General features: G+C 44.5%; 1 protein-coding gene across 8 annotated transcripts in view; it reads left to right on the top strand.

Moving 5' to 3' along the window:
• The window catches only part of AGBL4 (AGBL carboxypeptidase 4), a 1,501,444-nt gene that overhangs the window by 1,469,193 nt on the left and 16,750 nt on the right, over positions 1-15,501 (top strand). For all 8 annotated transcript variants that reach the window (NR_136623.2, XM_017002595.3, NM_001323575.2 and 5 more), the window contains one exon: positions 15,024-15,120. Coding sequence is in view for 7 of the 8 variants with exons in the window: in XM_017002595.3 (XP_016858084.1) it covers positions 15,024-15,120 (97 nt within the window). In the remaining variant the exon portion in view is untranslated. The remainder of the gene's footprint in view (positions 1-15,023; positions 15,121-15,501) is intronic.

The following is a 15,501-nucleotide window of genomic DNA, read 5'->3' as shown; positions in this document are numbered from 1 at the left end:
AACACAAGGATACCAAAATCTACCTTGCTTGTAATAAATGAAACTAGCACAGTACCTGGAAAATAGTCCGTGGTCATCAACATTAATTTCATTCCCTAAGTTTTAAGTTCAAAACAACAGTTAAAAAGAAAGTAACATCACAGCAGAAAAAAAAAATCATAAAATGTTAGAACCATGAGGGTCCTAAAGATTGGGATTTAAGTTTATAATCACACACTTCCTAGGCATGGGATTCATTGCTGTTTTGCTTGAAATATAACAAGGATGTCTCAAAATGAGGAATAAATGCAAGGAAATGACCAATAATGAGATATTATAATGGAGTTTCACTATAATAATAGTCATTCTTTGGTGAAACTGTGAAGCAAGCCAATTCCTCTTTATTGTCTAAATGGAGAAACTGAAGCCCAGGAGTGGGTCAGTGACCTGCCCAAGGCATACAGCATTTGGTGAAAGCTGTTGCTCAAATATAGGTCTCTTGATTCACAGGACATTGCTCATTCCATTAATCCATGTAAGTGCTTCAGATTCAGGCCTAATCAGGGGTGAAGACACAAGAGCAGGGGAGTGGGCTTCTTTTAAAGGTAGAGGACCCCATGTCCTGTCCCTCCAGCAAACCCTTTAGTGGACCTTTTAAGTTCTGAGCCCAGGATTTGATGCTTCCCAGGAAAAGACCGAACCCCAATTCTCACCCACAGAATGGCCCAGACTTCAGCTGAGTTTTGCAGTTACCTCCTAGGGATCTTCTTTGCTGCACTGTTCTTTGACCGCTGCAGCAGACTTGGGCCACAGGACTCTTTGAGGTTTTCTAGTTAAGTTAATGCAGATGCACTCAGGATAGATTCTTCATATTGTTCATTCCATTTCAAGTCTAGCTTGGTTTTACTCCCCTGCACTCTGCCAGATTCTCACTAATCGCAGAAGAGTCAGACTATAACAAGGGAACAGGTTAGAAAATGAGAAGAAGGAACATTACCAGGAAGTTGGTGATAAACTCAATTATCTCTATCCACAGACCTAGAGCAGAGATTCTTAACATTTTAGAAGATGCTGATTTTTTTTTTGAAAATTGTAGAAAATTATGAATACTCTTCCCAGAAAATTTACACAGTTTGTCAGTAGTATCAGAGGGTTCAGGAACCCCTTAATGGCCCTTCTGATATAGAGGCTCACAGAACATCGGAGCTGAAATGTTTCAAAACATCGGCAAGCCAGTCCCTCCTCCAAATTTACAGATTGGAAAACTGATACCTAAAGGAGACTTGCTCCAAGCAAGTGCAGCCACTCAGAAGCAGAGCTGAGGCCTGAAGCCAGGCCCATCAGAACTCCTCTCTTCCTTCTCTCTTCTCCGCCACTCCAAGATCCTGCTATGCAAATATTTACTTTGGTCTTCAGTCTCATTTTTAACTGTGCATCCAGTTGAAGCTTCTAAAAATATATGTGAGACAAGCAGGAGCTGAATATCTCTCAGAAAAGCAGAGCCCCCTCTCAGGTTGAACTGCATCAAAGTCCCAGGCACTGCTGAGCTGGGGCCCAGCTGGGCAGGCACAGCTGATTCCAAGAGCCAATTTTCAGAGCCACGGTCAACTGTCAGTGGGGAAAGGGAGGCACTGCTGGGAAATTGCTGGTGCCTGGATTGGAGGAGCAGGGGAATGAGGAAGCCATGAGGCAAGTGATAGTGTGGGATTTGGAGAGAGAGATTAATTTCCCTCTTGAGTGAGAAGTGGGTCTGAGTTAGACAGACAAGCTATAAATACCAGCAGTCTTGGGCAAGTAGAGAAGGGAGAGGCATCTCGGGTATTGAGGTGTGCTAGAAATGGAGGGAGGACACTCTTCCCTGCCAAAGTAATGAGGAGGGTGATTAGATAACCGTCTTACTAGATTAATGCAGCCTGTGAGTGGTATCCCTCTCCCCTTCCCTGTCTCCAAGGATCCATTCAGGGATTACTTTTTTCTAAGTAGGGAAGCCAAGACCCTTCCCAGTCAAGATCCTGCCCACCTCTCTCATGTCACTTGCTGTATCTCCACCAGATACTGTACAACCACTAGACCAGTGGTTCTCACCCCCAGGTGTGTTTGCCCCAGGGAGTGTTTGGCAATGTTTGAAGACACACTTGGTTGTCACAATGAGGTGGGTGCTGCTGACATCTAGTGGGAGAAACCACGGATGCTGCTAAACACCCTACAATGCACAGGGCTGCCCCCACAACACAGAATCATTTAGCCAAACATGTCAATAGTACCTGGACTATAAACAGATTGAGAGCACAGCCATTCCTGTTTTGTTTACTCTACATAGCCAGTGTGAATGTTCTGTATACCTATTACATGGCCCAGCACAGAGGAGGTGATTGATAACTTATCTGTTGAATGAATCAATGAGTAATAAATAATGAATGAGGCTGGGTGCAGTGGCTCATGCCTGTAATCCTAGCACTTTGGGAAGCTGAGGCAGGCGGATCATAAGGTCAGGAGTTCGAGACAAGCCTGATCAGCATGGTGAAACCTCGTCTCTGTTAAAAACACAAAAATTAGCCGGGCATGGTGGCACACACCTGTAGTCCCAGCTACTTGGGAGGCTGAGGCAGGAGAATCACTTGAACCCAGGAGGCGGAGGTTGCAGTGAGCTGAGATCGCACCACTCCACTCCAGCCTGAGCGACAGAGCAAGACTCCATCTCAAAAATAAATGAATGAATGAAAAATAAATAATGAATGAACAAGTGAATGAATAACAGCAACCTGCCTAATGTGGTCTGAAGTCCAAATACCCACCAAGGTTATCTCATCCAGAATCAGGCACATTAAAAATGAGGTCAGATCTCCATCTGATCTAGCCCACCAGCCTCTAACTTGGCTTCTCTTCAAAAGACCCCATTAGGGTGATGGGCAGCACTGTCACACCTGATAAAGCTGCTGCACATCTGCTTGGTCAGAAAGGATATCCCCTGCTCCAGGGAAACGTTTTTCCCAGGGTAGAGCGGAGAGTGAGAATTAGAACTAGAGATCATCTAGTTCAACTGCCCGCCAATTTTACAGGAGAGGAAACCAAGGCACACAGCATGGAAGAAACCTACAAGATGTTATACCAAACGTCCAGAAAACACAGAATTTTACAAATAGTTTCTTCATCTCTCCCCGTCTCTGTCTCTCTGTTCTTTTCTTTCTCTCTCTCTCATCTTGATTTGTTTTTGTCTTGCTTTTTCTCCCTACCTTTGTTCATAGGCCTAACATGCTAAATAACTCTGGAAACAAATGTGAATGTGACACACTCTTGTCCTTGAAGAGCTCATACTTTGTTGGAGATGACAGTTTCATATGTAGTAATGATAATAAAAAAGCTACTGCATACCAGCATTGTACTGGGTATCTTGGATATATAATTTCTAATCAATGCAATAATCCTGAGGTAGGAAGCATTATGTATTTTAGAGATGAGGACACTAAGGCTCAGAGACAGTAAATAGCCTGCCCAGGTTCACACAGCTAAACATGTAGGAGCCAGGATTAAAACCCATGCTTTTTGGACTTTAAACCTGGCCTTCTAAATACATGCACAACGGAATACAGTGTCAGGAGATAAGGCTTATACTAGCTTATGGAAGGCCATGAAAGCCAGATCTGAGAATTTAGGTCTTACCTTGGAGGTGACAGTGAATCAGTGTAGGGTTGTAGGTCAGGAAGTGACAAGGTCAGCAATTGTGAGAACATCATTCTCAGCAATAATGGGGAGAAACTGGAAGCCAGAAGACCAATTAGGATGCTGAAGCAATAGTTCAGATAAGAGACAAGGATCTGAACAATGCAATAGCAGTGGAGGAAGAGGAGGAGCAGGTTTACTATGTTTAAGAAGTACGGTAGGCAACATTGCCCTTGAGAGGCAGCAAATAATGCCAGCAAAAAGCACTCTGAAATTAGACATATCTGGGTCTGAATCCTGGTAAATCCACTTGCTGCATGTGTAGGTCAGGTGGGGTGGAGTTGGTGGAGCACCCAGCAAGGTGTCTTACACAGAGCCAGAACTCCACCCCTGATACCCAGCACCTTCATCCTGGGTATGCCAGGATGTTTCATCTGCCAGCTCTTAGCTAAGCAGATGAAATCTCAGGCAGTGTGGAATAGGCTGAATAATGACCCCCAAAGACATTCGGTTCCTGATCCCTAGAACCTATCAATAATACCTTATATGGAAACAAGGTCTTTGTAAATGTTATGGTTAAGGCTCTTCAGATGGGAGGTTGAGACTATCCTGGATTATCTGGATAGGTCCTAAATACAATCACATGTATCCCTAGAAGAGACAGGCAGAGAGAGATCTGACATACACTGAAGAGGGAGGAGGCAATGTGACCATGGGGGCAGAGATGGGAATGATATGATCACAAAGCAAGGAATGCCAACAGCCACCAGAAACCAACTATTTCTCTGTTTTCTCCCCGGGGCCTGTGGAGGGAATGCAGGCCTGTGACACCTAGATTTTGGCCCCAGTGAAACTGATTTCTGACTTCTGGCCTCCAGAACTGAGAGAATACATTTCTGTTGTTTTAAGCCACTAAGTGTGTGGTGATTTGTTACAGTGGCAATGGAAAACTAATTTCGAGCCTTATAGTTACCCCAAACTTTAATTCATTCTGTGATGGATTGGACACTCTTCTCACAATTTCCGTATAAGCATTCATCTCCAGCATCCTCCGTGAAGTGAGCCTTTCAGGAAATACCTACTCTGTGGAATTGCATTTCACCCATCAAAAAAGAGGCCTCCCTTCCCGTCCCTATCTGTGTCTCTCCACCTTCTTCTCTCAGTCCTTCTCAGTCTCTCTCACTGTTCCTGTCTCTATTTCAGTCTTATGCATCTCATTTACAGTCTGTCCTCTGCGGCTGTGCTTCTCTGCATTTTTTTCTTTTGTCTCTTTCTGTCTTATCTTTTGCCTTTCTCCCCTCTCTCCCTCCCTTCTCCTGTTGCCTACATTTATATCTCTCTCACACCTCTTTCAGTTTGATTCTTTCCTTTTCTGTCATTTGCTCCCTGTTTTTCTCTCTCTGCTCCTCACCCCATTTCTCCTCAGTTTTCAAGCCTGAGTCTCTCTCAGCCTCTCTGATTATCCTTCTCTCCTTATCTTCTTGCCTCATCCTGACCAGTTTCTCTGTATTTTCCTGTCCATTTGCATCTCTTTCGCTTTTGGTCTCTGCCTCTGCGGCCTCTTTGTCTCTTCCTCTCTCCTGCTGTCTCTCCCTGACCCTCTAATCCATCTCTCTCTATCTCTTTCTCTCTTTCTCCCTCTCCCTCTCCCTCTCCTTCTCCCTCTCCTCTCTTTCACAGGTCTTCTTACCTAGGGGGTGCCTCTGGACTTGCCTGCAATGGGAAAGGACTCTGCAATTGCATCTGCAGCCTCCACACTGCACTTCAGAGAAGGATTCACCTGTTTAGTCATGCACTTGTCTGACACTGTGGGAGGATTGGTGAGGCAGGCAGAGACAAAAGATATTTCATTGTCACATTTTTCTTCTAGCTTTACCTAGAGGCTCCTAGGCAGGTGCCTCTTAATATTCTAGCAGTGCTGTCAGCCTTACCAAAGAGAAATCACTTTTCCTTGGCCTATCCCTCTGCACAATTAATCTTCCCCCTTTAATGGTGATCATCTGTTGCTGGGAGGGGCAGGAGTATGAGCAGAAAATGAATTCTAGGTGGGAGTTTCCAAACAGGGAGCAGGTAGGAATTCAATTTTCTTATTTGGAAGCAGGATAATGGCAAGAAAAGACCTTTATGAGGACAGGGATGTGTCTGTTTTCTCTTTGTTGTATCCTAGCTCCTAGAACAGTGTCTGGCACATAGAAGCCACTTAATATGAATATATAAATGAACAAATGAGAGAATAAATCAATGGGTTTCAATCCTCCTTGCGCCAATACTTGATGTGACTCATCAGACAAGTGACTTCTGATTTTTCATCTGCAAAATGGAGATGGTAATCAGAGCTGCCATGGCCCACAACTAGGGGGAAAGGAGAAGTGGGTTATTGTGTCTGAGAAGTGGGGCAGAGCTCAGCACCCTTCAATGCAGTCAGGCCAGCTGAGCTTGCTGAGGGTTCTAGAAGAGCTGCAGGGAGTGAGAAGTATGGAGAAAGCTTCAGAGATGAGTCCACAAGGGGAGGAGCAGGACAGGGAAGGGAGGCCGCAGGCCAGGCGGGAGGATGTGTGTGAGGCTTGTCTCTGCCGAAGCTGCTCTGGGAGGTGAAGAGGACCTGGACCTGGAGACAGAAAACAGCCATTACCACGAAAAAGGTGTTCCTGACCCCATGAGGGAGGACTCGTCCCTGAGGTTGATTATTATCCCCAGTTTGGGATTGGGCTGGATTTAGCAAGAGCCTAATTGTGAAATGACTGGTCAGGGCTGTGTTTCAGATGAGGAGGATTAACTCCGCTTTGGTGCTGGCCAGCACCTTCACCTCCCCCAAGCCCATTCCCACCCACCTTCTCAAGGAAGCCTCTCTGAGCACTCTACTTAATGCTGCGATCTTCTTCTTGGCCCCAGCACTCCCCTTACCCTACTCTTTATCTTTACTCCATAGCACTTATCACGTTCCAGCATTCTATATAATTTACACATGTATTATTAGGTCTACAGCTTGTTTCCCATAGCTAGAATTTAAACTCCATAAAGACAGAGGTCTTTGCCAGTTTTGTTCACTGTATATCCCAAGTGTCTAAAATAACTTGGCACATAGTCAGTTCTCCCTAAATATTTGTGAGTGAAAGAATGCAGATGGGATTTCTCATAAGCTTATTGTATTGAGGGCTTTGCTTCAATGTACCATGTTAACTGAAAAAGGACTCAAGAGACTACATTTACCCACAGAGAAGTTAGGCCCAGTGAAGGGAAATGGCCCAAGGTCACATGGCTAGTTAATGATGAAAACCACATTGGTCTCTTGATTCCCACTTGTGTGCACTCTCAAGGCCCCAGATCTGAGGCCCTGAGACAGGAGAACAGAGGATCCTTCAGTTACTGCCATTCCCCTAAAGCCCTTGGGACACCCTAAGAGCAGGGAGGAAGAGGTGGAGACCTGAGCAGAATGGAACACACTGCACAGTCAGCAAGAATTTGTGGCATGAATAATCCCAAAGAGCTGAAAATTCAGAAACAATTCCCATTTTCTGATTTTTTCCCATTTCTGATTCAGAACCTGGATACTTAATGTCTCATAGCTCAAACCCAACATGCTCCGAACTGACCTCCTAATCTCTCCCCTGAAGCTATTCCTGCCACATTCTTTCATATGCCAGATCAGGGCACCCCCATCGACCCAGCTGCTAAAGCCAAAGATGAAGGAGTCATCCTTCACTCCTTCCCCTCCTTTGGGCCCCACATCCAACTTGGAAGCAGGTCCTGTTTGCTCTTCCTACAAATACATCTTCCCATCTCTACTGCCTCTGTACAGCTGGGACCTCCCTTTTCTTCCCCTGTACCATTGCAGTCGTCCCTAGCTACTCTGCCTGCTTCCACTCTTGCCTTCTCTTTTAGTGCAGCAGTGACTTTGGAAATAAAAATGAGACCGTGTCATTTTCCTGCTTCAAACTCTTCAGTAGCTTCCCATTCACCAAGAAAGTCCAGACTCCTTAAGGTGGCCGAGAGTTCTTGGTGATCTAGCCCTTGCCTATCACCCTCTGCCAGCCCTCTTCCAGTTTCCGTCTCTCACCCGAGGACCCTTCCCAGACACCCTTCCCTCTTCTTAGGTACCGCTGCAGTCACTGCTCACTCTCAGTTCATATCCCCTCCTCAGAGAGGCCTTCCCACGCCTGCATTATCTGCAGGTACAGACTCTGTGCATTTTCTTCATAGTATATATCAATTGCTATTATGTATGTGTGTGTGTGTGTGTGTGTGTGTGTGTGTGTGTTTGTTTGTTTTACTACCTCGCTATTTGTCTCTGCTTCTAGACTTAAGAACCATTGTCTTGGTTTTGTCTTCTTTTGTTTTTAACCATAGTATACCCTGAGCCTTCCAAAAAGCCTGAACATAATAAACATAGTAGATGATATTAAATATACACTGAGTAAATTCATATTTACAGATACAACCCATATATGTTCACTGGCTTTCATTGCCTACAGAATAGAAGTTTAAGTTTCTTAACTTGGCATTCAAAGCCTTCACTCACTTGTCTCTAGCCTAATATTTCAGCGTCACCTTCCACTCTACGCGGTTAGCTACATGGGCCTTCGGACCCTTTTCTGTGTTATTTCAGGTCATGTGCCTGACCGCACTCCGTTTCTCTGCTGATACTTGTCTTTCTCTTCCACCCGCTTTAAGACCGGTCTTTGTCCTTCAAATCTTTGTTATATGTGCACCTCCATGAAGCCTTTCACAATTCCTCCATTTGGAATTCAATCTCCTTCCACACATCCACAGAATTTTGTGTTTGAATTTATGATTACACTCAAGAAAGGAAACAACATACGCACGCTGTTAGAAGACACTGAAGTTCGTATGCTACCTTTGTTACATTCAAGCCACGAGACTCTGAATTAGTTATGTAAACTCTCTGATTTTCAATTTCCTCATCTGTGAAATATATGTCGAATTGTACTTTGACTTTGCAGGGCTTTGGTGAGGATTGGTGATAGTAACTACACTGTATGCATTGCGGAGTAAACTCTAAAAAAAATAGTTCCTGCTTTTGTGAAGATGACAGTGCAACAGCCTCCCAGGTAATATAGTTAACTGGAACATGTGAGTTTCCTTCTCTAGGCTATAAAGTGTATCTGTCTAATTTTCCTTTAACCCCAATCCCTGTCCTCTTCATAGCAGTATACACATGGGAGGAGCCCAACAAACGTTTGAATGGATGCATGAAGGAATGAGTGAATGAATGAGAATGAACAGTAAATGTTCAAACCTTCATTACCTGTTGAAGGACCTCATTAAATAGGAGGCTAGGGCTACTTACACCCACACTTTATTTCAAAAGAGCTCTGTATGGAAGTCATGGAGTCAGTCCAAGTTTAGGACAATCCCAGCTGAATTCTCCTGGTTTATTGCTTTGAGTGTCTTGATTCCATCTTCCCCATGTGGCTGGCTATACCCTGCCATTTTTGAGAAACAGATCAATGACCTACACAGGAACCTGAAAATGATGAGAATTTTAACTTACAGACCATCTTGAGATTTTTGTTCATAATGAATAGTTGGGAGTTTTCACCCCCAATTTTTTATCTATTAATTCTACAATACAATGAAAAGCATTCCAGCCAAGAGAATTATTGCCTCTCCTTGCCTGAATTTTAAATTCAGCTTGTTTTAATTGAAAATGTTCAATCAATCCCTCCTCTCCTCCTGCCCATGTCCTGTTTCTTGACTCAAACAGGGCCACTGCAGTAAATAATCTGGAGTGAGGCTTTCAAGGTTAGGGAATATGTAATAGGGTTGGAGGGGGAAGGGAAAGAGAGTTGTCCCAGAAAATGCCCATTTTTAAAACACTGGCTTTTAAACAGATCCTGTCCAAAATGATCAACACCTTACAGTGGCACCTTTTACTGGAACAGCCCATCTCCTTTCCCTTGCAGAGTTCAAGAGGATTGATTTACAAGGCTACCTCCTACAGTTGCTTTAAGTCTGGCTCTCAGTATGGAATGGTGAGAAAGGGATCAGGCTTCTCTCTTCCTCATTCATTCATTCATTCATCCAACCCCTATGTTATTCATCAACTAGGTGCAGTCACACTCTTCATCCCAACAATGCTGTGAGCAGGAAACTGCAACTCAGGGAAACGAAATGGCTCATGCAAGGTCACACAGTATTCTAGTTCTCTAGTTCTACATTAGAAAATCTCCCCAAAACTTAGTGGCTTAAAACAATAGCTATTTTCCTATGTTCTCTGTGGGTCAGAAATTTGAGGAGGCCTCAGCTGAGTGGTTCTAGCTTGAAGAGTGGTGTGTTGCAGTCAGACAATGGCTGGAGATGGAACAGTACAGTGCTGGGGGAGCTGTAGGCTGGCTGGGAATCTCTCTCTTCTCTTTTTCTGTAGTCTCAGGGTCTCAGGGTCTCAGGGCAGTCAGACTGCTCACATGGAGGCTCGGGATTCCAGCTTGAGAATTTCAGCAAGCAAGTACAAGTTTCTTCACCTTTTCTGGCCTCACCTCAGAAATCCCACTGTTTCACTTCTCTCACTTCTGCCATTTTTTTGGTTACAAACAAGTCCCAGGCCCAACCAAATTCAAGGGAAGAGTAAGTATACTACTCAGTGGAAGGAGTGGCAAGGTCATGTACTACAATAACATGTGAGATTGGAGATATTGTTGCAGGCATCTTTGGAAAATACGATCTGCCATACACAGCATGTGGCAGAGCCAGGATTTGGATTAAATATATCTGCCTCCACAATGTTTGCTGCAATCTTTTACCTCAGTCCACAGGAACCTCTGCTTTCCTCTCTGCCCTGTAGCTCTTACTGCTGGCGCACACAACCACCATTTGGTTTCCTCCAGCCAAATGGAGACTGGCTGGGTGAAAGCTGGGTGAGACTGCCTCCAGAGTCTGCTGCTCAGAGAGGTCATGCCCAATGCCAGCTTGTGAACTTTTTAAACAAGAGGACAGAGGAGGTCAGTCACATCCAGAGGAAGAAAGCAGGTGGCAGCCCCAGAGCCCAGTGAGCCTGCAGTACATTTCACTGTCATAAACAACTTGTCTGGTGTTTTTCCTTCTCCCATCAGGCACTGGCCTGGGATGACTCAGGCTTTGACAGAAAAGGTGCCTTCAAATCAGGAAATGGGCCAGGATAGTGGAAAGCTCATGGTTCTGGAGTCAAACCTGCCTGGGTTTGAGTCCTGACAGTGCCATTACCAGTTATGTGGCCTTGGACAAATTCCTTAACCTCCCATAACAAAAAAGAGATAAAATAGCCTTCATTACTGGATTGTTTTGAAAATTAAAATGCACTTGTAGGCAAAGCAGCCAGTGCAGTGCCTGGCACATAGTAGGTGCTCCGTAAATGCTAAGTTTCATGTCCTAGGCCATGTCCAACCCCAGCTTGGGGACTTCTTGAAGAAGGTACTGAGAACTCACTTGCCCATTTCTCAAACACTTGTCCATCTCCATGGTCCTGGATGGAGTAATGGCCCAGGAGACCTGGCCCAGCCCTAGACAGCACTGAAGGAAGGCCTGTGGCAACTGCCCAACAATCCTGCAAATGCAAGCAACTGCATCTTTTCTTCCCACTCCACTTTGTCCTTTCCACTATGACCTACCAAGACCCCTCCCACCAAACACTCCTCTCACACAAGCCCTGACACACTGGAGGCTTCCAAATATGCTTGTTGGATGGATGGACGGGTAGATGGATGGATGGATGGATGGATGGATGGATGGATGGATGGATGGATGGTAAATCATTTCTGCACTGTTACTCACTCTGTGTCTTCTCCCCGAAATGCCCCTTCAGTTGTCCAGCCTTTATAGCCCAGCTGAGAATGGTCCTTCTCCACTGATCCTCTAGGACCAACCTCAGGTTCCTCCTCCTCTGCATATTACCCTGCATGCCCCCCTCACCTACTCCTGAGTCAGGGGTGTGAGTCTTGTTTCTCAGTACGTGGAAGGTAACCTACCACTTATTAGGCAAGAGAGACACAGAAGTGAATATGGAATGGTGCAGGTGCTGGAGAGGTAGTTTGGGAAGGTCGATAAACACATGCAGCCAGGGTACTCACTTTCAATCCCAGCTCTTCATTAGGTGCCCAACATTTGGGGAAATCCCTTATCTTCTCTGAACAGTGGGAATAATATACCTACTTCATTGGGTTATTGTGAGAATTGAATGAGTCAGTATACAAAAGGCACTTAGAAGATTGCCCAGCACGAAAGACTTCATGACTGAAACACCAAAAGCAATGGCAACAAAAGCCAAAGTTGACAAATGGGATCTAATTAAACTAAAGAGCTTCTGCACAGCAAAAGAAACTACCATCAGAGTGAACAGACAAGCTACAGAATGGAAGAAAATTTTTGCAATCTCTCCATCTGACAAAGGGCTAATATCCAGAATCTACAAGGAACTTAAACAAATTTACAAGAAAAAAACAACCCCATCAAAAAGTGAGCAAAGGATATGAACAGACACTTCTCCAAAGAAGAAATTTATGCAGCTGACAAACATATGAAAAAAAGCTCATCATCACTGGTCATTAGAGAAATGAAAATCAAAACCACAATGAAATACCATCTCACGCCAGTTAGAATGGCGATCGTTAAAAAGTCAGGAAACAACAGATGCTGGAGAGGATGTGAAGAAATAGGAACGCTTTTATACTGTTGGTGGGAGTGTAAATTATTTCAACCATTGTGGAAGACAGTGTGGCAATTCCTCAAGGACCTAGAACTAGAAATACCATTTGATCCAGCAATCGCATTACTGGGTTTATACCCAAAGGATTATAAATCATTCTACTATAAAGACACATGCACACGTATGTTTATTGTAGCACTATTCACAATAGAAAAGACTTGGAACCAACCCAAATGCCCATCAATGATAGAATGGATAAAGAAAATGTGGCACATATGCACCACGGAATATTATGCAGCCATAAAAAAGAATGAGTTCATGTGCTTTGCAGGGACATGGATGAAGCTGGAAACCATCATTCTCAGCAAACTAACACAGGAACAGAAAACCAAACACCATATGTTCTCACTCATAAGTGGAAGTTTAACTATGAGAACACATGGACACAGGGAGGGGAAAAACACACACTGGGGCCAGTCAGGGGGTTGGGTGCTAGGGGAGGGATAGCATTAGGAGAAATACCTAATGTAAATGATGGGTTGATGGGTGCAGCAAACCACCATGGCACGTGTATACCTATGTAACAAACCTGCACGTTCTGCACATGTATCCCAGAACTTAAAGTATATATAAAAAAAAAGATTGCCTAGCACGTATTAAACATTATATAAGTATTAGCTATTATTTATTTATTTTATTTTTTTATTTTTTTCTGGAGATGGAGTTTCACTCTTGTTGCCCAGGCTGGAATGCAATGGTGCGATCCTGGCTCACTGCAACCTCCGTCTCTTGGGTTCAAGCGAGCCTCCTGCCTCAGCCTCCCCAGTAGCTGGGATTACAGGCATGCGCCCCAACGCCCAACTAATTTTGTATTTAGTAGAGATGGGGTTTCATCATGTTGGTCAAGCTGGTCTCAAGCTCCTTACCTCAGGTGATCCACCCACTTCAGCCTCCCAAAGTGCTGAGATTACAGGCGTGAGCCACTGCACCCACCCAGCTATTATTTACTAATTCAACAAATATATATTTCATACTTATTGTCAGATGAGTGTGTGGGTATTTAGGTGATGAATAAGACAGATATGACCTCTGCCTCATAGAGCTTGCAGGCTAGAAGGGGCTACTGAAAAGAAGAGACAGGTAAAATGCAGTATGATTAGCACTCTGGTTGGTGAAGGCCAGGAAGAAGAGGTTGTGGGAAAACCTAGGAGAGACCCCTATCCCAGCAAGGGCAGCCAAGGAAGACTTACCCAGTAGAGTGACAACTGAATTGAGCTCTTGAAGCTGAGAAGGAGTGGGTCCTGGAAGGCATGTGAAGGGAGGAAGAGTGATCTAGAAAGATGGCATGTATGGGCACAGGCCTGGAGGCAGAAGAAGCTCAGTGTTTCTGGAATGTGAAGGGCAAGGGGAGTAGGTGGGAGGTAGCAAGCATAATGTTGAGAAAATAATCAGGGACCTGACTATGAACAGTACGGTAAATCACACTCAGAGATTTGGACTTTGAAGGTAACTGAGAACCACTGAAGTGTTTTATTCAGCTGAGTGACATATTCAGAGCTGCATTGCAGAATCCCCCTGGCTGCACGGTAGAAAATGGACCAGAGGGGAGAAATTCTGTGGCAGGGAAACTAGTTAGGACAGGATGACAGCAATCTAGGAGAAAGATGATGCTGGCCTATTCTAGGGGGGTGGAAAGAAGTGAAAACATTCAAGATATGGGAGGTGTCTTGGAGAAGGGTTAGTGACAGCTTGGATGTTCAGAGCTAAGAGATGAGGGAGAAGCAATCGCTAAGGATTAAGCTGAGTAAACACATAATTCTCTTGCTGTGAGATAAGTGATAAGTGCTTTGAATGAAGCCAGTTCAGGAGTCATGAAAGTGTGGGGCAAGGGCACGAATCACAGTTCTGGGAAGAGAGGAGAAGAATATCCTGGAGGGCTCTAATAAAGAGATATCACCTCATTAGAGAAGCAAGGGGCATGAATTAGCCAAGGAGAAGGCAGGAGTGGGCAGGGAGGTACTTCAGCAGAGGAAATAACATGTATGAAGCCCAGAGATGTGAGCTATAATGCACAGAGAAGATATTCTGTTGTTGAATAATGATTGTTGTACTTATTCACATTAAGGTGTTAATGGTCAATATGAAATTGGCCCTTCCCCAAGAAGTTTGTGCTTTTACAGCCACAAATCTTTACCAGGAAGATTCATTGTCAGAGGAATTTCAAGGTGCAGTGGGAACACTGTTTAGGGTCACAGGGTTTTACCATTGTGCCTGAGGTTACTAAAGTGGATGACTGAGCCCTAAGGGTCAAGCAGGCCCTTGTCTATATGCAACAAATGTCTCTTGTCCTTGGGTTTTTTGCTTACCTGGCTCCATCCTGAGCCACCTGAGGCTAGACCAGAGCAGCCCAGTGATTTCCAAAGGGCTGTACCCTGAAAGCTATGAGCACAGGCTTTGGGTTATGACTCCCTAGACTCATATCCTGGCTCCTCCTTTTCCCAGTTTTGTGACCTTAGGCAAATTACTTCACTTCTGTGCACCTCAGTTTTCTTATCTATAAAATTAGGATAATAATAGTGATTACCATTTAAGGTTTTTCAAGGATCAAAAAAGACAGCGCATACAAAAAGCTTAGAACAATGAGTGTGTAACTGTTTTTATTACTGTTATTATTTTTATTAGTAGTTCTCTTTTCACTCTGTCTCAATCTGTTTTCGAAGTTGCTCCTTAATGCACACACCTGCAGATATGAAGCTGGGGCGGAATGTGGCAAGAACCTTTTTGGACTATTATCGGCTGAACCCCGTGGTTGAAAAGGTGGCAATTCCCATGCCGAGACTGCGGTAAGTGGCAGAGCAGAGAGGTTTCGGCTTGAGTTCTGCTCCACGGGCTGTATTCAGGGGCAACTTCCCTTAGCCTTTTGCTGACACTCAGCATCCCATCTGTGCCGCAGGAAAGATAATCCTGGCCCTGCCACCGAGATTTTATGGGGCAGAAGAGCATAGTTCCTGAGCATAAAGAAAGTGTCATTAAGGGGTCAGACAGTGAGGGCATGGTCACATTTCTGGTTCTAACTTAGGAATCCACAGGGATGGGGCTTGCTGGGGAGCTGAGTTCAGTCATTGTTCTAAATTTGGGTGTTTCTATGTGCTACCTCTCCTGATACCTCATCCTCTGAGGTTCCTATATGAACTTCTCTGATCCTTCGGTTTCCTCATCTATAA

The sequence above is a fragment of the Homo sapiens genome, chromosome 1, assembly GCF_000001405.40.
Source record: "Homo sapiens chromosome 1, GRCh38.p14 Primary Assembly".
NCBI lineage: Eukaryota > Metazoa > Chordata > Mammalia > Primates > Hominidae > Homo > Homo sapiens.
This window is presented reverse-complemented; position numbering and strand designations above follow the sequence as displayed.